Source organism: Homo sapiens, chromosome 13, assembly GCF_000001405.40.
Source record: "Homo sapiens chromosome 13, GRCh38.p14 Primary Assembly".
NCBI lineage: Eukaryota > Metazoa > Chordata > Mammalia > Primates > Hominidae > Homo > Homo sapiens.
In genome coordinates, this window is record NC_000013.11 from 114314106 (window position 1) to 114337615 (window position 23510).

At 43.3% G+C, this 23510-nt stretch overlaps 1 protein-coding gene and 1 long non-coding RNA gene across 5 annotated transcripts, besides 1 other annotated feature; one reads left to right on the forward strand and one right to left on the reverse strand.

Annotated features, from left to right (window-relative positions):
• Positions 56–735: a silencer, noted in NCBI's record as "silent region_5563". NCBI's record gives its function as "represses an Ori minimal core promoter by ATAC-STARR-seq in GM12878 lymphoblastoid cells {active_cell/tissue: GM12878}" and the evidence as "EXISTENCE:reporter gene assay evidence [ECO:0000049][PMID:35858748]".
• On the forward strand, positions 398–13217 carry CHAMP1 (chromosome alignment maintaining phosphoprotein 1). Of its 4 annotated transcripts, none has more exons than XM_047430277.1 (3): positions 398–538; positions 7005–7127; positions 7958–13217. In XM_047430277.1, exon 3 carries the CDS (start codon positions 9738–9740, stop codon positions 12174–12176), a length of 2439 nt encoding a protein of 812 aa, XP_047286233.1. In that variant the 5' UTR covers positions 398–538; positions 7005–7127; positions 7958–9737; the 3' UTR covers positions 12177–13217. The 4 variants fall into 4 exon arrangements, with proteins under 4 accessions (XP_047286233.1, NP_115812.1, NP_001157616.1 ...); NM_032436.4 differs by having other exon boundaries at positions 9683–13217; NM_001164144.3 differs by having other exon boundaries at positions 9686–13217.
• LINC01054 (long intergenic non-protein coding RNA 1054) lies at positions 15652–19843 on the reverse strand. The gene is made up of 3 exons (NR_126391.1): positions 19730–19843; positions 16561–16673; positions 15652–15740 (listed from the first exon to the last, which is right to left on the reverse strand). It is a non-coding gene; the product is annotated as a long intergenic non-protein coding RNA 1054 (long non-coding RNA).
• Positions 19844–23510: the final 3667 nt, after the last annotated feature.

Below are 23510 nucleotides of genomic sequence, written 5' to 3' on the forward strand. Positions count from 1 at the left end.
AATGTATGGGGCAGGTCTAGCTCTTTTTTTCCTAATAAATTCATTCACACAACAATCAAAACAGCAAGAAAAGGAAGAGATATCCGCACGGCGGCGGCAGGCCGGGGCCGTTCCAAGGGCCTGGCCGGAGGCCACAGGCCAGACGCGGCGGAACCCTCCCGGAGCCGCGCCCGGGCGCGCGCGGGAAGCGGAGGCGGAGTGGGCACGTGCGGCACTTCCGGGGCGGGGCGGGCACGCAGCCCTTCCGAAGGCCCGCGCGAGCCGCTAGTTTTGCCCACGCACTTTTGGCACAGCCGCGCCACGCGATCGGCGATCTGATTGGCCCGCGCGGGAGGGCGCGCGGCGCCAAACTTGCTTCCCGTCAGCCCCCGCCCGTCCCGCGGGAGCGCGCACGCTCGCGCACCCGGATCCCGGCTCCTGCATCCAGTCGCCATTCGGGAGGCCGCTGCGCTGCAGGGCCTCGCGGAGCCGCCCGCGACCGCGAGCCGGGCCCTCCGCGCGGTCCATCGCCCACTGGACGCCGCCCGCGGCCGGACCGGTGAGGAGCGAGAGCGAGCGGGGGAGGGGCGTGGTTGGGGCCTGCATCCCCGAGCCCCGTGTCGGCCGCCGACCTGGCGGGGACGGTCCCGGGAAGCCGCGGGTCCGAGTGAAGGGGGCCTGCGCTGCCTCGCTTCCCACACGGCCCGAGGGAAGGGCCCGCCCCCACAGGCCGGGGCGGGAGTGCGTCTTTGTGCAGGGAGCGGGGAGGCCCGGTGTCAGTCGCTGCCGAGGCTGGAAACATTGCGTTTGAAACCATTGGGAAGTTGAGGGCGGCACAAGACGAAAGCCATTCTTTCTGTTTTAGTTCTAGACTGCCTCCTCTTCTGTCATTATTACTGTTTAAAAATCCGCTATACAGCCTCCAAAGTGGGAGAGGACATTTGTAAACCTGATAAAGAGTTAATGTCTAGAATACAAGAAGAGATGCAACTGACCAACAAAAAGCAACCCAGTTCAAGAATGGGCAAGGAATTTGAATAGATATTTCTCCAGAGAAGAGAGACAAATGGCCAATAAGCACGTGCAGTGATGCTCAACATCACTAACCATTAAGGAAATGCAGATGAAAACCACAATGAGATACCACCTCACACCTGTTAGGGTGGCTATTAAAAAAAAGGGAAATTATGAGTGTTGGGGATGTGGAGAAATTGAAGCTCGGGTGCATTGCTGGTGGGAAAGTAGGGTGGTGCAGCAGCTATGGAAATTGGTAGTCGTTCCTCAGTTCTAGGTTTATACCCCCAAAAATTGACAGCAGAGACTCAGATACTTGTTCACAAATGTTCATCGCAGCATTATTCAAAATCCAGATGTCTATCAACATGTGGATGAAAGGCAAGCTGTGGTATATACATATAATGAATGGACCATTGTTCATCTTTAGAAAGGAATGAAATTCTGATACATGCTGCAATATAAACGAACACATTATACAGTATAAACGAGCACATTGAACACATTATGTTGAGTGAAATAAGACACAAAAAAGACATACTGTATGATTCCCCCTCAGGCACAGAATTGAGATTACCAGCACTGAAAGTGGAGAGTGGAAGTTACTGTTTCATGGGTACAGAATTTCTGTTTGTGGTGAAGAAGTTCTGGAAGTGGATAGTGGTGATGTTTGCACAACGTTTTAGTACTAAACTAACTAAATTGTGCTTTTAAAAATGATTAAATGGCAAGTTTTGTTTTTTTTTTTTTTTTTGAGACGGGAGTTTCGCTCTCGTTGCCCAGGCTGGAGTGCAATGGCCCGACCTTGGCTCACTGCAACCTCCGCCCCCTGGGTTCAAGGGATTCTTTTGCCTCATTCTCCCAAGTAGCTGGCATTACAGGCGCTTGCCACCACACCTGGCTAATTTTGTATTTTTAGTAGAGATAGGGTTTCTCCATGTTGGTCAGGCTGGTTTCGAACTCCTGACCTCAGGTGATCCACCCGCCTCGGCCTTCCAAAGTGCTGAAATTACAGGCATGAACCACCATGTCCGGCCTAAATGGCAAGTTTTTTGTTTTTATTTTTGTTTTTGTTTTTTAATGAGCCAGAGTTTCACTTTTGTTGCCTGGGCTGGAGTGCAGTTATGCGATCTTGGCCCACTGCAGCCTCCGTCTCTCGGATTTAAGCGATTCTCCTGCCTCAGCCTCCCAAGTAGCTGGGATTACAGGCGCCTGCCACCACACCCGGCTAATTTTGTATTTTTAGTAGAGACGAGGTTTCTCCACGTTGGTTAGGCTGCTCTCTGACTTTCAACCTTAGGTGATCCGCCCACCTTGGCCTCCCAAAGTGCTGGGATTACAGGCGTGAGCCTGTGGTGGCGCGCGCCTGTAGTCCCAGCTACTGGGGAGGCTGAGGCAGGAGAATCGCTTGAACCTGGGAGGTGGAGATTGCAGTGAGCCGAGATTGCGCCATTACACTCCAGCCTGGGTGACAGAGCGAGACTCCCTCTCAAAAAAAAATAAATAAATAAAAATGACTCCTTGTGTAAACTATAGACTACTTAATAAATCAGTATTAGCTTATCATTGTAGCAGATATCTCACACTAATGCAAGATGTTAATACAGGTGAAGTATCCTTCATTCGAAATGCTTGGAACCAGAAGTGCTTTGGATTTTTTTTTTTTTTTTTGGATTTTGGAATAGTTGCATTGTACTTACTGGTTAAACATCCGTAATCTGAAATCTAAAATGCTCCTTTTGGCACTCAAAAAGTTTTGGATGTTGGAGCATAATCAGATTTCAGATTTTCAGATTAGGGATGCTCAGCCTGTAGTAGGAAAAACTGGGGACAAGAAGATAGGTGGGAATTCTTGTACATTCCCTTCAGTTTTTCTTCAAACATAAAACTACTTGGAAAATTAGTTTATTAATTTCTTTCTTTTTTGGGTTGGGGGTGAGTATGGAGTCTTACTCTGTTGCCCAGCTGGAGTGCAGTGGCTCAGTCTTGGGTCACTGCAACCTCCGTCTCCCGGGTTCAAGCGATTCTCCTGCCTCAGCCTCCCAGGTAGCTGGGATTATAGGTATGCACCACCACGCCCAGCTAATTTTTGTATTTTTAGTAGAGACAGGGTTTCACCATGTTGGCTGTTGGCCAGGCTGGTCACGAACTCCTGTCCTCAAATGATCCGCCTGCCTTGGCCTCCCAAAGTGTTGGGATTACAGGTGTGAGCCACTGCGCCCGCCCAGTTTATTAATTTCTTAAAGGCCAGGCATGGTAGCTCACACCTGTAATCCCAGCACTTTGAGAGGCCAAGGCAACAAGATCTCTGGAGGCCAGGAGTTCAGGACCAGCCTGGACAACATAGTGAGACCTCATCGCTACAGAAAAAAAAAATTAGCCAGATGTGGTGGCAGGTACCTATGGTCCCAGCTACTTAGGAGGCTGAGGCGGGGGGATCTCTGGAGCCCAGGAGTATGAGGCTGCAGTGAGTTGTGATGGCGTCACTGCACCAAAACCTTGGGCAACAGAGCGAGACCCTGTCTCTAAAAAAGAAAAAAAGTCCGCTAAGATAAAGAACAATGCTAGTGTGTATAGACTAATAGAACCCATTTAGCTTTGAACATGTTCTACTTATTGAATTTTAATTTAAAAAACTATGCATCAGATGTGTTTTAAAAGATGATCAGTGGTGTTCGACTTCAAAGAAGAAATTGAATGGGAGATGGGAAATAGGTATGATACACCATCTGGCATAACATTGCATTGAAGGATACTGGGTGATAGACTGGCAGAGCACCAATGATTAGAATTTAGGTTTTTTAGAGACGAGATGTAATCTGTCTCAAAGACAAAAAGAAATTTTTGTTAATCTGGACAATTCTGAGTTAATTTTTAGTTAGGGTTAGGAGTTCTTAAATTTAGGAAGAAATTTTGCTAGAACCTAAAAGCTGGAAGGACGCCCAGCTCTCTAGGCTTTGCCTAAAAGTTGAATTCTGGGACTAAATTCTGTAACATCTTCGTGGATCGTTCTGCTACTGTGGGAAAGACAGCATTTTGTTACAGCAGAGACCAGAATTGAGAAAACCAGAATAAAAAAACTGTTCCCTCTGACCTCAGTGTTGTGATCTTTGACAGGTCACTTCTTTCCCTCAGCATCAGTCTTTTCAGTTATAAAATGAAGAGGTTGAACTCAAGACCTCTGAAGATCCTTCTAGTCCTATGCTGATCATCATTTTTTTTTTTTTTTGGTTTTCTTTTTTGAGACAGGGTCTCACTCTGTCATCTAGGCTGGAGTGTAATGGTGCAGTCTTGGTTCACTGCAACTCCTGCCTCTCAGGCTCAGGCGATTTCTCTTGCCTCAGGCTCCCGAGTAGCTGGGACTATAGGTGCATTCTGCTGCACCCGGCTAATTTTTGTATGTTTTGTAGAGACGGGGTTTCGCCGTGTTGCCCAGGGTGTTCTTGAACCCCTGAGCTCAAGGGATCCACCTGCCTCAGCCTTCCAGAGTGCTGGGATTACAGGCCTGAGCCACCACACCCGGCCTGATCATCAGATTCTAATTATGGAGTACTCCTACCTGACAAAGGAACTCGTTCTAGTTCATGATAGAGTAGATTGTAAACTGTGTTAAGCCACAATTCTTTTCCTGCTAGCTTCTGATTGTCACTTCTAGGATAGCTCATATATTATCTATAATTCTTCCCCTTTTGAAGTTAAATGTCTTTATTTGTAAATGACTTTTTTTTTTTTAAAGGGCCATCTGCCATCCTGGTTGCCTTTTTTTTTTTTTTTTTTTTTTTTTTTTTAATGTTCCCTAGTTTGTTAGAGACTCTCTTAAAGTGTCCTTCCTGCCCAGAGCTGGGGACAGTGATCCACTGGAATAGTGTACTCTGCCCAGTGCAGAATATGGGATATAGTTCTCTATAGTCCTGTATTTATGCACTTGATATGTGGATTCTAAGTGTTTGTTTCATCTTGTTTATTTTGGACTATTGTACAGGCTTTAAAAGATCTTACTAAATTCCACTGTATTAGTTTGTGTATATCTACAAAGAACCTGGACAGATAGCAGAACTTTATTCTCTCATCAGATACTGATCATTTGTCTGATTTGGGCAAGCTGTTTAATGTCAAGCTTGAGTTTCCTTAACTATAAATTGAAGTTTTAAAGTAGATGATCCCTGAGGTCTTTTCCTACCCTCAAATCCTATGACTTTGAGACTAGATGGTAACTTAGGTTTCCTCTAGTTTTAAAATCCTGTGAGTCTAAGATTGAGAGAATGTTAGGATTGAACAGAGCACATACTGTGTGTCAGGGATGTGCAACGGTTCCAGAGGTGAATAAAGGGATAATAGTCCCTCCTCTCCAGGAGCTGGCATCCTGTTTTTGGTATCAGGCTGTAGTGCCAGAGGGTGACATGTACAGCTGGGGCTTCTAGGAAGATTGGGAAGAAGTGGGGAATTGACCAGTACAGTTGACTCATGAATAACAGAGGTTAGAACTTCAACCAAATGCCAATAAAAAAGAGCGTTTACAGAATGTGAAACATTTATATGGAGGGCAGATGTTTCATATATGGGAATTCCACAAGGCTGACTGTAGGACCTGAGTATGTGTGGATTTTGGCATATGGGGGAAGTCCTGGAACCAGGTCCCTGTGTTTACAGAAAGACAGCTGACTTAAAAAGCTGTCCTGCCTGAAGGATGAAGGAGTTTGCCTGATGGCCGGGTGGCAAGACAGGGAGTGTAAAGGAGAGGAAATAGTTTATACAAATGCACAGACGCTGGAATAGTCAGGGAGTTACATGTGGGCCAGTATTTTGAGAATGCAGTCTGGTCATGGGCCAGACTGTGAAGAGCTTTATATGCCATATTCAAATTGTATACTGTAGGTGTCTTAGTTGACTTGGAGGACATGTGAACAGGCAGATCACATTAGGCTTCTGTTTGGAAGACAGGTTTGGTAGCTGTACGATGAATGGGTTGGAAGAAAAGGAGACTAGTGGCAGGGAGTTCAGATGTCAGAATTAAAGCAGTGATAGGGGTAGGGGATAGAGAAGGGGTAGATGAATGTGCTGGAGCTAATCAGAAGCATAATATGAGCTGTTGTGTAGCTTGTGCATGGCCAGTTTATCACATTCTGTTCCTGTCAGCAGACTCACCCACACCATGATGCTTTATCTTTGAAATGCATGCAGGAAGAGAAGAGGGCAGAGCAATCACTGAAGCAGGTCCATGTGTTCTTCCTTGGGGTCAGGACACTGCCATCCTGCTCCTCCCAGAGTCCTTTCTTTTTGTGCCTCTTGGTCCTCTTTGTTGTGGTGTCCCTTCCTCCACTGCCTGTTAATTTGGCACTCTGCTGTGTAATATCAATAATTGACAAAAGTCAGCCATTGTTATAGTCAGTAGTCACACCAGCAGTCTTCTGAGTGCTTATCAGAGAAGTGAAGTTAGGTGGTGGGTTTGAGAAGGATTTGATTACACACACGGGCATAATTCCATAGTGGATCATTAAAGAGAAAGTAGACAAGGATGGTGTCAGGAGTGGTATCTACTGTAGTCTTTGGTGTCATTTCATAAAAGTAAGTGTTCGGGCTGGGCGCGGTGGCTCACACCTGTAATCCCAGCACTTTGGGAGGCCGAGGCGGGCGGATCACGAGGTCAGGAGATCGAGACCATCCTGGCTAACACGGTGAAACCCCGTCTCTACTAAAAATACAAAAAACTAGCCGGGCGTGGTGGCGGGCGCCTGTAGTCCCAGCTACTCAGGAGGCTGAGGCAGGAGAATGGCATGAACCCTGGAGGCGGAGCTTGCAGTGAGCCGAGATCGCGCCACTGCACTCCAGCCTGGGCGACAGAGCAAGACTCTGTCTCAAAAAAAAAAAAAGTAAGCAGGCTTAGTGGACTGGACTCCTCTCACTGTTAGGGCAGGATGGTGAGAGAAATACACAGAATTCCATTACAGGGGGCACACACGATCACAGATATAGTTTTGATTACTTTTCTTTTTTTTTTTTTTTTTTTCCAGGTTCAACTTCTCATCTTTGTTCTTCTTCATATACTATAGGCTGTTTGCTGTGGTTTAGTCAAAAAGCCATGTAGAATGCCTGCCTTTTGAAGACCACTTTTAAGGTGTCTAGTAAGACAGCAGGTAAGTCTAGTAGGGAAAGCATGCTTAGGAGAATATTTTATGAGGAGAAAATTAAAAAAAAATACCTGGAGTTCTTGAGGAAAATCTCTAAAAGTGTACACGCCCTTATGGATATAATGTGTGTTGTGTGCTAGATATACATAATTTGGGATATGAGAAGTGAATTCTGTAGCATTCTTTGTAGATTTAAGTATGAGATTGGCCTGAAGAGCTGGTGGTAGGCAGCGGGAAGAGGAGGGATGGCTGGGAGGAATGGGGAATGGTAGGTGAGTCAGACTCAAACCCAGCACACCTGAGCTCTTAGTCTCTGTTGTAATTACAATATGTAATATAGTGCTCTTTAATATTAGCTTGGCTGTTCATTATTGCCAGTTGGGCTGTTCATTATTGCCTCATGGGATTATTGAGACATATCCTACGTTTTCCCCTAAAGTCTTCTAGTTTTATTTAACAATGGGCTCTGAGACGGATGGTTAACCCATTATTTTTCCATGCATTCAATTACGTTTGTAAGTTAAAGATCATTTTCAGAGATTTTTCATCAGTACGGAATTATTTATTTTTCTTTTGTTACAGTCCTGGCCCCAAAACAGTTTTCTAAAATACAGGATAACTGCTGGGCAACTCAGAAAGAGTAAATAGTTTCCGAAGAAAAGTATTTGTTTCCTCAAGTATCTGTCACCTTTTTAGCTTTAGATCAAAAAATAAAAAAGGCAAATGATATACCTTGGATAAAAGTGTTAGGAAGCAGTATTGCCAGTGAGAACATCTTTAAAAACAAATTATCAAAGTTAGAAATGTTAATTTTTTTTTTTTTTTTTTTTTTTGAGATGGAGTCTTGCTCTGTCACCAGGCTGGAATGCAGCGGCATGATCTCAGCTCTCTGCAACCTCCGACTTCTGGTCCAAGCGATTGGCCTGCCTCAGCCTCCCAAGTAGCTGGGACTACAGGCACACGCCACCACGCCTGGCTAATTTTTGTATTTTTAGTAGAGATGGGGTTTCACCATGTTGGCCATGATGGTCTTGATCTCCCGACCTCGTGATCTGCCTGCCCGGCCTCCCAAAGTGCTGAGATTACAGGCATGAGCCACTGCGCCCAGCCTATACATTTTTTTAAAATAATGGTTTTGTAATTAATAAAGGGAGAGCCTGCATTTCTAATCTGTACTGTTCTTTGAGGAGGAGTAAATATCATTACCGTCAATAAGGGAAGGTGTTCAGTCTTTCTCATTAAAGAGAAGCACATTAACACAATAGTGAAATACTAGCTTTCACCTAGGTTGTAGCAAGGATTAGGAATTTATAGGAAATTGTCTCTCATATATACACGTTGTTATGCAGTAATAGAAGTTTTTGAGAGTTTGGTAAAATGTATCAATTTTACACACAAATGGCCAAGTAATCCATTGCTAGGAATTTTCCCTGCAGAAATACCCTCACATGCACAGATAAGTACAGGGAAAGTCAGTGCTTATTCCATATGTAAAAATGTCTTAGAGATAAATTCTAAATGAGAGTAAGTTGCCAGATAATATGTTTAATATCCCATTTGTGTAAAGCATGTGTGTTGATCAATATATGCTTAGGACATTTCTTCCAGGACACATGAGTACACTGGCTACCCCTAGGGACTGACACTCTGTATCTCGTACTGTGTGAATGTGTTTTTAACTGTGAGCTTCTATTCCCTTTACTACTTAAGAAGACTGGTTTACAATTTTTTTAAATTCATGTTTTCCGGCAACTGTGTTCCAGCTGCTGGGGTGTCCTCTGATTTGCCCTTTGGTTGGTATGCGCCTTCACATCATTCAGGATCTCTGCTGGAATGTCCCATGCATAGAGGTCTTTTCCAACGGCCTCTACATCACTCTCCACCTTATCTTTCCAACTCATGAACGCCATATTGCAAAGCACTGCTTTAAGCCTAAGTGCCTAGAACATTGTAGGACACAAAGTTATTTATTTATTAAATGAATTAATAGAATACTATATTGGGATAGATTAAACATTACAAAATATGTTGACATGAAATCAAGCCAGCATCATGTTTTAAAGTCATCTTTTTATAGCTAGATTTAATTTATTAAGTGCTTTCTGCAAAAGTTTTAGTCTCTTGTTCATCCTTAAATAGCCAAGATTTAATTTTGATATTCACTCATCTTTGTGTGCTGAGGACTTTTGTACTCGGAGTTTGAGAGTCAAAGTATAAAGCACATGCAATAGCTAATTCTAGAGTCAGGCTCACATCACTGATAGTCCTATAGCCTGGACCAGAGAAAGTCAGGTAACTTCTCTGAACCTGTTTCTTCATCTGTAAGTGAAAATAATAGTTGAGTCATATCATTAGGATTAAATGAGATGATGTATGTGAAACTCCTAGCAGAGTGCCTGGGACTGTTCTATATCTCCTTTTTCTTCAAATTCTCCCTAGAGATACTATCAAATAAAGCACGCACTGTTCTAGACTTAAAATTATGCAGTTATAGAATGGACTGACAGCATTTTATTCAGAATTACAGTTCATGAAAATAATTTATTCCTACTTTATTGCAGCAGTATTGAAAGTTTTTAAAGAATATAACCGTGTGTGTTGGTAACAGACAGAAGAATGGAAGCATTCCAGGAACTTCGTAAACCATCAGCACGTTTGGAGTGTGACCATTGCAGTTTCAGAGGCACAGACTATGAAAATGTACAAATCCATATGGGTACCATCCATCCAGAATTTTGTGATGAAATGGATGCTGGTGGGCTAGGCAAAATGATATTTTACCAGAAAAGTGCAAAGTTATTTCACTGCCATAAATGCTTCTTCACCAGCAAGATGTACTCTAATGTATACTATCACATCACATCCAAACATGCATCCCCAGACAAATGGAATGATAAACCAAAAAATCAGTTGAACAAAGAAACAGATCCTGTGAAAAGCCCTCCTCTTCCTGAACACCAGAAAATACCCTGCAATTCAGCAGAACCAAAATCCATACCTGCCCTTTCAATGGAAACACAGAAACTTGGTTCAGTTTTGTCTCCAGAATCGCCAAAACCTACTCCTCTTACTCCCCTGGAGCCTCAGAAACCTGGCTCTGTTGTTTCTCCTGAGCTACAGACACCTCTTCCTTCTCCTGAGCCTTCAAAACCTGCCTCTGTTTCTTCTCCTGAACCTCCAAAATCAGTCCCTGTTTGTGAGTCTCAGAAACTTGCCCCTGTTCCTTCTCCAGAACCACAGAAACCTGCCCCTGTATCTCCTGAGTCAGTAAAGGCTACTCTTAGTAATCCCAAACCCCAGAAGCAGTCTCATTTCCCGGAAACATTGGGGCCACCTTCAGCCTCATCTCCAGAGTCACCAGTTCTAGCTGCTTCCCCAGAACCTTGGGGACCATCCCCAGCTGCATCTCCAGAATCTCGGAAGTCAGCCCGGACTACCTCCCCTGAGCCAAGGAAGCCATCCCCTTCAGAGTCTCCTGAACCTTGGAAGCCGTTCCCTGCTGTCTCCCCAGAGCCTAGGAGACCAGCCCCCGCTGTGTCACCAGGCTCTTGGAAACCAGGGCCACCTGGGTCCCCTAGGCCTTGGAAATCCAATCCTTCAGCATCATCAGGACCTTGGAAGCCAGCTAAACCTGCTCCATCTGTGTCTCCTGGACCTTGGAAACCAATTCCTTCTGTATCTCCTGGACCTTGGAAACCAACTCCATCTGTGTCTTCTGCATCCTGGAAATCTTCATCAGTCTCACCCAGCTCCTGGAAGTCTCCCCCTGCATCTCCTGAGTCATGGAAGTCTGGCCCACCAGAACTCCGAAAGACAGCTCCCACGTTGTCTCCTGAACATTGGAAGGCAGTTCCCCCAGTGTCTCCAGAGCTTCGCAAACCCGGCCCACCACTATCCCCAGAGATCCGTAGTCCAGCAGGATCTCCAGAGCTCAGAAAACCCTCAGGGTCACCAGATCTTTGGAAGCTTTCTCCTGATCAGCGGAAAACTTCTCCTGCTTCACTTGATTTCCCTGAGTCCCAGAAAAGTTCCCGTGGTGGTTCTCCTGATCTCTGGAAGTCTTCCTTTTTTATTGAGCCTCAGAAACCTGTCTTCCCTGAGACCCGAAAACCAGGTCCTTCTGGGCCATCTGAGTCCCCCAAAGCAGCCTCAGATATCTGGAAGCCTGTTCTCTCTATCGATACTGAGCCTAGAAAACCTGCCCTGTTTCCCGAGCCTGCCAAAACAGCCCCTCCTGCTTCTCCAGAAGCACGCAAACGTGCCCTTTTTCCAGAGCCCCGGAAGCATGCCCTTTTCCCTGAACTCCCCAAATCTGCTCTATTCTCAGAATCACAGAAGGCTGTTGAGCTTGGTGATGAACTACAAATAGATGCCATAGATGATCAAAAATGTGATATTTTGGTTCAGGAAGAACTTCTAGCTTCACCTAAGAAACTCTTAGAAGATACTTTATTTCCTTCCTCAAAGAAGCTCAAGAAAGACAACCAAGAGAGCTCAGACGCTGAGCTTAGTAGTAGTGAGTACATAAAAACAGATTTGGATGCGATGGATATTAAGGGCCAGGAATCAAGCAGTGATCAAGAGCAGGTTGATGTGGAATCCATTGATTTTAGCAAAGAGAACAAAATGGACATGACTAGTCCAGAGCAGTCTAGAAATGTGCTACAGTTTACTGAAGAAAAAGAAGCTTTTATCTCTGAAGAGGAGATTGCAAAATACATGAAGCGTGGAAAAGGAAAGTATTATTGCAAAATTTGTTGCTGTCGTGCTATGAAAAAAGGTGCTGTTTTGCATCATTTGGTTAATAAGCATAATGTTCATAGCCCTTACAAATGCACAATCTGTGGAAAGGCTTTTCTTTTGGAATCTCTCCTTAAAAATCATGTAGCAGCCCATGGGCAAAGTTTACTTAAATGTCCACGTTGTAATTTTGAATCAAATTTCCCAAGAGGTTTTAAGAAACATTTAACTCATTGTCAAAGCCGGCATAATGAAGAGGCAAATAAAAAGCTAATGGAAGCTCTTGAACCGCCACTGGAGGAGCAGCAAATTTGATAACACAGTGTGAATATTTGTTCTACAAAGGTGTTTGTTGGAACCATTCTTTGTAAGTATAGCTTATCAGATAGCATAGTTGGATCAGTAGATGACATGTATGGTGTACCGTGTTTCACTGTCTCAGTTGTGTTACTAAGAATGAGCATTTGATCATTTTTTTCTGGTCTCTGTCTATGTGACTATCTTGTAAGTCAATAAATTTCTGTATAGTCCAGATGGATTAAACTTCTCATTTCTTTTAAATATGTATGAATAATAATACAAGGAAGTAGGCATTCCATTTAATAATCAAGAGCAAGTTGTACTCAAAGCATTCAGTTAAAGTGTATCTGTGTGTGGAACTAATTTCAGACAATAGAAAATATTAGTTGAAATGTTTAAGAATTAGGCATGAAAAATAAATTTGAGAAATTTTGTTTCCTTACATGTATTTTTAAATCATAAGAGTTATTTTCTATCTGATGTAAAATTAGTTTATAAATCTTAATCAGCTTCTAGATGTTTATTAGCTTTTATGTCATGAAATGTTGGAGTCTCAGGGTTGCTGATTTTCTGCTAATGGGAAAAATTGACTAAGTCTTTAAAATAGTTTGCAGCCTTCTCCCACAGGAGACAAGTGAAAGATAAGTGTGATTTTAGATCTTTCTTGTCCATAGTTGTTTTCAGTGGAGTCTTCCATTCTGTATCTTACCCTAAGATCTGGTTCTTCCCTCCCCATCCCCACCCCCCACCCACCGCCTGCCAGCTCACACTAATAGATGATTCTTAATTGCCAAATGTGTTAGAGTTTGTATATCCTACTCCTGGGCCTTACATGTCGCCTGTTGGGGCTTAAGACCAGGTTGATAAGTAGGAACTGAAAGTCTTCCAGATTCACAGTAGAAAATTTTATAGACATTTCTGTTAAAGAAATATATCGATTTTATGTTTTTCAATTATGTTACTGTAAATACCTTGTACCTGTTCATGGATTATTTTATTCTAAAATATTTTGTCAAATGTGTATCAACCAAATTAAAAAGAAAGGTTTTCATGTCAGCAACATCTTCATGTGTGTTTTCTTTTGTGTAGTTTTCATTGTATGATATACAGATCCATTATTTCCATGTTTTCAACATAGTTTTCTTATCTGGAGCAGCATTTTCTTAGCTGTGTTTTCTCCAAGTTCTGTGGTCAAGTAAGTTAGGGGAATGCGTGTATAGGGAGGACTCTGTGTCAAAAACCTCATCCTTTCATATGAAAGGTTTTTTAATTCCAGTGGTTGCCTATCCTGCCTGCCTCTAAACAGTGTGAGGCATTTAATCTCAAAGCATTCTGATGTGTAGCCAGGATTGAGATGCTGTACTGGGTTTATTTTAGCTATTCCCAGACATTTTTTTAACAAGGAACAGTTTTGTCCTAGTTCCCCACCCGCTGGCTTCCCTATTAATATGCCCGTTGGGATAGCTTAACAATATTTAGTAATATGGTTTGGCTCTGTGTCCACACTCAAATCTCTCTCTTTTTATTTTTGTTTTTTATTTTGAGACCGATCCTTGCTGTGTCACCCAGGTTGCTGTGCCGTGGTGTGATCTTGGCTCACTGCAGTCTCTGCCTTTCAGATTCAAGGGAGTCTCGTGCCTCAGCCTCCTGAGTAGCTGGGACTACATGTGTGTGCCACCACATCTAGCTAATTTTTGTAGTTTAATAGAGATGGGGTTTTGCCATGTTGGCCAGGCTGGTCTCGAACTCTTGGGCTCAAGTGATCCACCTGCCTCACTTGAGGGAGTGCTGGGATTACAGCTGTGGGCCACCACACCTGACCCCCACCCAAATGTCATATTGAATTGTAATCCCCAGTGTTGGAGGAGGGGCCAGCCTGGTGAGAAGTGATTGGATCATGGGGGTGGACTTCCCCTTGCTGTTCTCGTGATAGTGTGTGAGTTATTTAAAAGTGTTTAGCCCCTCCCCTTCGCTCTGTTCCTCCTGCTCCAGCCATGTTGGATATGCCAGCTTCCCCTTCACCTTCTGCCGTGATTGTAAGTTTCCAGAGCCGCCCTGCCTCCTGCCCCAGCTGTGTTTCCTCTGCAGCGTGTGGAACCATTAGCTAATTAAACCTCTTTTGTTTATGAATTACCCGGTCTCAGGTCTTTGCAGCAGTGTAAGAACAGAGTAATACATTTAGATAATACCAAGTAAGGTCTTAGAAGCCTCAGATCTGTTAACTTCGGTGAACACAGCACTGAGTAGCTGCTGCTATCAATTTACGTGGCACCTTGAGAACGAGCTTCCAGATCAGGAGTTCCCTTCTAGGCAGTGATGCCAACAAATAGGACAGGTAAGATATCTTGGATATACTAGTTGTCCTTTTCTTGTCGATACTGACTGACTGAAGTTGTTTTTGAGAAACAAAAAGGGTCTGCATTACCTAGAAACTCTCCTGGCTCCTGCAGTCTCAGACCAACCCTGTTACACAGATTCTTTTCTAAGACTTCACCCTGTCTGGTGCAAACCTGGCAGTTCATCCTAGACCTTTGCTCCAGGTGGCACCAACTAAGTCACATGACTTGCCATCTGATTTGGGGTTTTTTATAATAGTGCCATAGGATAAGAGTTAATTGCCTGGGTAAGTGGTAGTGATGCATGTGTAGTTTTGGCTTTTAAGGACTTTATTTGGCTAAACCCCTGTGTTGTTGGTTTACCTTACTGGCTTCCACTCTTTCTTTTTTTCTGTTTTTGAGACTGAGTTTTGCTCTTGTCTCCCAGGCTGGAGTGCAGTGGCGTGATCTCAGCTCACCACAAACTCTGCCTCCCGGGTTCAAGCGATTCTCCTGTCTCAGCCTCCCAAGTAGCTGAGATTACAGGCGCCTGCCACCACACCCAGCTAATTTTTGTATTTTTAGTAGAGACAGGGTTTTACTATTTTGGCCAGGCTGTTCTTGAACTCCTGACCTCAGGTGATCCACCCACCTTGGCCTCCCAAAGTGGAGGATGGAGACGTATTTAAAAGCACTGAGCACAAAGGAGGCACTCAATCCATGGTGGTAATTATTATTCTAACCTTATTAGCCCCCTGCCGATTCAATGTATACCATTCACTAGTTTGTTTAAATAATTTGTGAATCAGTTTATATTTTCAAGTTGCCATATGTTTTAGGGTTCTCCGGAGAGTCAGAACCAATAGGATATATATATGGTATAGAATGGTAACCAGCACTCTACACTCTGTTTTTATGAGTCTGACTTTTCTAGATTCCACATACAAGTGAGATTATGCAGTATTTGTCTTTCTGTGTCTGGTTTATTTTACTTAACATAATGTCCTTCAAATTCATCCCTGTTGCCATAAGTGGCAGGATTTTCTTCTTTTCAGGCTGAATAGTATTTCATTGTGTGTGTGTGTATATATATACACACAATTTGCTAAGCAGGGAGATCCGCAGACCCTCTTGGCTCCCAGCATGCTGGGGTCAGGTTTGCAGTCTTAGGAGATCGGTGAACTCTTTTTGGAGAGGATCTGCAAATACCAACAGTTTCAGGGTTTCCTCAGGTCCAGGAGTGCCAGGCTCCTGTGCACTCTTCCTTTGGGGAAGCAAAGGAAGACTCCATCAGTGCACACAGAATGCATTAATTATACTTTCTTATTTTCTGTTTTCTTCATGCTCTAGCATCTGGGGTTTACTGGGAAAAGATTGCCTTTTCCAGGGCCAGGCAATTAAACTACCAATCCAGAATGCGTACTCCTAACCACCTACTTTATCTGTATATATATTACCTTCATATATATATACACACACATACTACATTGTCTTTATCAGTTCATTCATTGATGGACACGGGTAGATTCCATATCTTGGTTATTGTGAGTAATGCAGCAATAAACATGGGAATGCAGCTATTTCTTTGGGGTCCCGATTTCATTTTTTTGTGGATAAACACCCAGAAATGAGATGGCTCTTCATTACTCTGTGAAAGGCCGTAAAAGCCACCACACCCCTAAGTGAAATCACCACATTAGTGAAAATAAGCTGTATCTCTCCACCCAACGTTCTCTTCCCATGCTTTTAGCACTCCTGGTCCCAGTGCCAGGGGTTTTCTGTAACTCCAGCTTTTTGCATGCTCTATTAGCATTAGAAAATTATTTCTCTTTAATCAGGAAAGCCACGCTCAGGCTATTGCAAATCACCCACTTTGAACAGGCCTGTGACAAGCCTAGACTAGATACAAGTAATTAATAAGAGGCAGGTCGCTGGGCGCGGTGGCTCAAGCCTGGAATCCCAGCACTTTGGGAGGCTGAGGCGGGTGGATCACGAGGTCTGGAGTTCAAGACCAGCCTGGCCAATATGGCAAAACCCCGTCTGTACTGAAAATACAAAAATTAGCCGGGTGTGGTGGCACGTACCTGTAGTCCCAGCTACTCAGGAGGCTGAGACAGAAGAATCACTTGAACCCAGGAGGTGGAGGTTGAGCCGAGATTGTGCCACGGCATTCCAGCCTGGGTGACACAGCAAGACTCTGTCAAAAAATAAATAAATAAAAGCAGGTAAAATAATTAAGCAACAATAAACACAATTGGCAGTGGTCATCCAGAGGACTATGACTTCCCTGAGGAGGACGTGTGAAGGTTGAAAACCAGGTAATAAGTGGCCTGAAGACATCAAGGAGTGCAAGTGACCCTATTATTCATTATTCCTTAATCTGTTCTCCAGCCAAGACTGTGGGGTTAGTGCCTCCCACTTTCATGGAGATAACCGACTGTATACAAACAGGGTCTGTGTGGGAGTGGGATTTCAAGGACTCTCAGCACTTTTTCTATATTTGCTACTTTACTGAGTTGGATACAGGCAATAAGGTCTCCATTTGACTTGCGTGGGGCTGAGGCACTGATATTCACAAATACAAGTATAGTACTGGGTATAATGGAACCGATGGGCATTCTGATTTGGTTAAATTTCTGTTGGTAGATGGTTGTAAATAACAGAACAACCACCTGCTCTGGTTTGCCCATGACTGTTACAGCAACTTGGGATGGCTGGTCACCCAGAAGAACACAGCCATTCTTAGAGCACAGGGTGCCCCCAGCCTCACTGTGTTTGCAGGTGCCAACCTTCGATCCCTACGGCTGTCATTCTCTTTTTTTTTTTTTTTTTTTTTTGAGATGAAGTCTTGCTCTGTCGCCCAGGCTGGAGTACAGTGGCACGATCTCAGCTCACTGCAAGCTCCGCCTCCCAGGTTCACACCTTTCTCCTGCCTCAGCTTCCCCAGTAGCTGGGACTACAGGCGCCCGCCACCACACCCAGGTAATTTTTTTGTATTTTTTTAATAGAGACGGGGTTTCACCATGTTAGCCAGGATGGTCTCGATTTCTTGATCTCGTGATCTGCCTGCCTCGGTCTCCCAAAGTGCTGGGATTACAGGTGTGAGCCACTGCGCCCGGCCCAGCTGTTGTTCTTGAGATGGCATCTTCCTTTCAGTCTCACCTTTCCTGGCACCAGACCCAGCAAAAGGCAAGGCAACAGGAAGCAGCCCATGGCTCCTTTTGAGCCTGAGGCCCCAGAGCCTGCATCTGGAACCTTCTAACTGCAGAGGCTGCTCCCAGGGGTCTGCAGAAGGGATGGCATATCTCCCCATGGTCTGTGTCATGGGCCCCACCAACATAGTCTACAAGGTCTCACCGGCAGGTCTTCAGGCCTAACTCTAAATTCAGGAAGCTCCCTACAGACAACACAGGTTCCTGAATGTTGTCGTCTAATCTAGCTTCAAAATCTTTTCACTTACATATGGGGTGCACATTCTTTACTTGGAAAATGATTTCACAGGAGAATGCCTGACTGAAATTTACTCATGAGTAAACCTTTGCACTCTTTCCTCTGAAAAATAATAACATGAGGCCCATTATCAGTTAGTGATAATCTAAGAAAAGTGATGAAGACAGAGGCCTAGATCTGTTCTGAGTTGGGGTTGCCCAAACCTGCAGGGTGAGTAGCCTCTGATTTGTACCTTCTGGTGGGTGAGGTAAATGTGCTCCTGCAGGTCTTATACTCATTGCATTATCTCCATGTAGCATCACATATGACTTTAAAGCACTGTGCTTGGCCGGGCGTGGTGGCTCACACCTGTAATCCCAGCACTTTGGGAGGCCGAGGTGGGCGGATCACGAGGTTGGGAGATCGAGACCATCCTGGCTAACACGGTGAAACCCCGTCTCTACTAAAAAATACAAAAAATTAGCCGGGCGTGGTGGCAGGCGCCTGTAGAGGCAGGAGAATGGCGTGAACCCGGGAGGCGGAGCTTGCAGAGAGCCGAGATTGTGCCACCGCACTCCAGCCTGGGTGACACAGCAAGACTCCGTCTCCAAAAAAAAAAAAAAAAATTCTGAGTACATTTTAAAACATAAGGCATCCAATGGAATTTTTAAAACCCTTATATGGATAATTTTAAACATTTGTGTAAATAAACAATGAATTTAACAAACTCCTATATGTCTATAACCCTTCAGAACAACCGGAAACACATGGCCAATTCTGTTCTGTCTATATTCCCAAATAAAATTCATACATTGTGATTAGCTGATGTGTTTTTTAGTCTATATAATTTATACATTTCCCCTATATCTCCTATATATCATTTTCTTGTAATTTATTTCTTGAAGAAGCTGTGTTGATTTTCCTGATTCATCTTCAGAGTTTAAAATAGAATTTCACAAAAAGAAAAAAATAAAAGCAGACTGAAGGAATAAAAATGTCAGAAAAGAAATCAATGGGATTTAAATGGTACAGCTGCTTTGGAAAACAGTCTGGCAGTTCCTCAAAAAGTAAGACATAGAATTACTCTTTGACCCATCAATTCTACTGAAGTCTTCATACTGAAGAGGATTAAAAACATGTCCACACAAAAACTGGGACACAGATGTCCATAGCAGCATTATCCATAATAGCCAAAAGGTAGAAACAACCGAAATGTCCACCAACTGATGAGCGGATAAATAATATGAAGTATATTCATACAATGGACTATTACTCAGCCTCAAAAAGGAATGGTTGCCAGAGGTTGGAGGAGGAAAAAATGGAAAATACAGTATTTCTTTCTTGGGTGCTGAAAATATGTTAGAATTAAATAGTGGTGAAGTTTGTGATACTTCCAGAAAGTGCTAAATTGTACACTTCAAATGAATAAAATGTAGTATGTGAATTATACCTCAACTTAAAAATCAAGAACATTTTCCAGAAATAAAGTTTAAGAATTTTCAGATTTAAAAGATCTATTGAGTTCCCTTCAAAATGAATTTCAAAGTTCTTCTACACTAAAGCACATTATTGTGAAATTTGATAACATCAGAGAAAAAGATCTGAAAAGCTTCCAGAGAAGTGAAAGAAAAAGATCACCTGCAAAGAATCAAGAACCAAAATGGCACTGAAGTTTTTCATTGAAATTTTAGATATAATAAGAAAATGAAATTTGGCCTTCACATTCTGAGAGAAATACATATATTTTAAACCCTACTAAGCCGCCAACCCAGTGTGAGAATAGTGCTCAGGCATTTTGGGACATGCACAGCATCAAAGCTTTACCTTCGATTAGGAAGCTACAGTAAAGTGGCAACCTAAGAAATGGGAGAATGAATTCCAGGAGCAGGTGATCCATGCAGGAGAGAGGAGCAGCATTGCCGAGAGCCAGGGGTGAAGCAATTCAAGCTGGAGACACTGAGACAAACACAGGGGCGCCTGGCATTCTCTCAGAGGCAGTACAGTGGTTCTCACAACTCAGTAAATGTGGTAATTATCTCTTATCTGGTTACAATGCATCTTCCCAGGCCTGCCAGCAGGGATTCTAAATCCTGATGCAAATGATGTGGCAGCACTTGTGGTTATAGACATGAGTGTTTGAATCACAGATCCAGGTCCAAACCCAAATCCCCTCAGTAATTAACTGTATGCTGTCATTCAATTACTTAATCTCTCCAGCACGCCACTTCCTCAGGCCAATTCATATGGGAATATAAATTCATAGGAGTGTTATAAAGGGTAGTTTGTACAATGAGCTCGTGACTATGAAATGCTTAGCATGGCATCCAAAAAGTCCTCAGTAAGTGGTGCAACAATACCTTTTTATTACAGAAAACACACTCAACCTAGAAAACAGTGTTCATAGGGGATTCAGAGAAGTAAGTACAGTTGGGTGAGCAGAGCAAGCCAGCGTGGAGAGGGTCTTTCCTAGGTGAGGCCTCTACCACATTTGAAAGTGGGATGCAGGGCAAGAGCTCAACATCAACCAGGACGGGCAGGAATGAAGTAAATAGCTCACACCTGTTCCTTCATGGGTCAGTTCCTTTCATTTTCACTTTTGACTCTGATGCAAAATTAGAACTCTGCTCAAATGTCACTATTCTTAATAAAGTAAAGTAAATAAGTAGGATCCAAAAACTTCAATTGCATAAAATACGTGCTCTTATGACAAGGCAAATGGGAAATATTTTGCAGTTGGTCATTGCCATCACAATAACACAAATTCTAAAACTTATACTGTTTACAACTGAACCACACCCTCAAATAATCAAAAAATGGTCCCTCCCTAAACTCTCTCCCCAGGAAGAGAAAGTCTTTGGCTGCCCCAACCTGAGCAGGAAAGCAGGTGGAGAGGGGGAGCCCACAGCTACAGTGGCAAGAAGTCTGAGGGCTGAGGGCTTTGACCAAATAATAGGGAATTGGGTTGAGTTGTTTGAATCATTTTCCAATAACTGACGTATAAAATAGATTCATTGAAGGAGCTGGGGAATGGGAGCCCACCCCTCAGTCTCCAGCCTCCCCTCAGTCTCCAGCCCCCCCAAACTACATGTTTCTCCAGAGTAACCTTGAGCCTCTCCCAGCATGGATTAAAACCCATGGCTCTTCCAGATCTAAAATCTGAGGCTCTACAATTTAAGTCATAGTTAGGCACTTCCATACCTGTGATGGTAACATTCTTACATACTCAGTCTATCATTGTTTAATATTGAATGAAAGACACACATTTTGTTTACTTATTATGCAGCAGCTAGTCTGTGTTCACCTGCGTTGTCTCAGGGTCAGCTCTTTATTTCCAAGAATCCTGTCCCATTTCCTGGAGCCTATTGACCGGGGGAAAGATGTGGTCAAAAGTTAAAGGTATGTTGGGCAAAGCCTTAGAAACAGCTTTTCTGACAAGCAATGGGGAAAAGACCCCGTTCAATAAATGGTGCTGGGAGCTGGGCCCCTTTCTTACACCATACACAAAAATGAACTCAGGATGGATTAAAGACTTAAGTGTAAAACCCAAAAATATAAAAACCCTGGAAGACAACCTAGGCAATACCATCCTGGACATAAGAACAGGCAAAGATTTCGTGACAAAGACACCAAAAGCAATATCAACAAAAGCAAAAATTGACGAGTGGGATCTAATTAAACTAAAGAGCTTCTACACAGCAAAAGAAACTATCAACAAAGTAAACAGGCAACTTACAGATTGGAAGAAAGTATTTACAAACTATGCATCTGACAAAGGTCTAATATCCAGCATCTATAAGGAACTTAAACAAATTTACAAGAGAAAGACAACCCCATTAAAAAGTGGGCCAAGGACATGAAGAGACACTTCTCCAAAGAAGACAAACATGTGGGCCGGGTGTGGTGGCTTACGCCTGTAATTCCTGCACTTTGGGAGGCTGAGGCAGGTGGATCATGACATCAGGAGATTGAGACCAACCTGGCTAACATGGTGAAACCCCGTCTCTACTAAAAATACAAAAAATTAGCCGGGTGTGGTGGTGGTCGCCTGTAGTCCCAGCTACTTGGGAGGCTGAGGCAGGAGAATAGCATGAACCCAGGAGGCAGAGCTTGCAGTTAGCTGAGGTCGCGCCACTGCACTCTAGCCTGGGTGACAGAGCAAGACTCCGGCTCAAAAAAAAAAAAAAAAAAGATAAATGTGGTAAACAAGCTTATAGAAAAAAGCTCTAGATCACTGATCACTAGAGAAATGCTCATCAAAACCACAGTGAGGCACCATCTCACACCAGTTAGAATGCCTATTACTAAAAAGTAAAAAACCAACAGATGCTGGCAAGGTTACAGGGAAAAGTGAACACTTATACAATGTTGGTGGGAGTGTAAGTTAATTCAACCATGGTGGAAAGCAGTATGGTGATTCCTCAAAGAGCTAAAAGCAGAACTACCATTCGACCTAGCAATCCCATTACTGGATATATACCCAGATGAATATAAATAATTCTACCATGAAGATACATGCATGCAAATATTCATTGCAGCACTATTCACAATAGCAAAGACATAGAATCAACCCAAATGCCCATCAATCATGGACTGGATAAAGAAAATGTGCTACATATACACCATGGAATACTATGCAGCCATAAAAAAGAACAAGATTATGTCTTTTGCATTAGTATGGATGAAGCTGAAGGATATTATCCTTAGCAAACTAATGCAGGAACAGAAAACCAAATACAGCATGTTCTCACTTATAAATGGGAGCTAAATGATAAGAACTTGTGAACACAAAGAAGGAAACAAAAGACACTGGGGTCTACTTGAGGGGGGAGGGTGGGAGGAGGGAGGGGAGCAGAAAAGATAACTATTGGGCACTGGGCTTAATACCTGGATGATGAAATAACATGTACAACAAATCCCTGTGACACGTGTTTACCTGTATAACAAACCCTCCCATATACCCCCCAACCTAAAATAAAAGTTAAAAAAAAAAAAAAGGAACACAGCTTTTTATTTTTTTCTCTTTAATACCATAAAGGTCATGGGCCATTTGCCACCTGAACAGTCAGTAACACATGAGTGTAAAGAAACTGAACACCCAGGGACACCAGAGACCGTTCACTGTAGAGGAAGGAGGCAGGTATAACTCATAAGGTGAACTTCCTCCAGTCCCAAAGTGGTTCCCCTCTCCTTAAATGCGGGTCCCATGGAATTCAGATTTAGAAGTGAAGCAAATGAGAATAGCTCACAGGGGAGCAGTTCAAATGTGCCGAAAAGGATAGAGCAGCCCCAATAAGGAAGGAAGGCCAGACAAGCAATGGATTTGTAGGGAAGACAATGTGCACCCATCAGAGCTCTGATTCCTTCACTTCCACTACCCTGCCCTGCCCACTAACTTTGAAAAAATATGGATGGCAAGTGTTGGGCCGTAAGACATTTCCTTGCTTTATAATCTGGATTTAGTGGGTTAAATTTCAGAGATAGTGAAAACATCCCCCTTTAGTTAACTTTTAATTTCATAATTGTACCTTTTTTTTTTTTTTTTACAGATATTTGAACATGTAAAACAAAGAAAAGAGTACGGAAGTAATTTATAATCAACAAATAT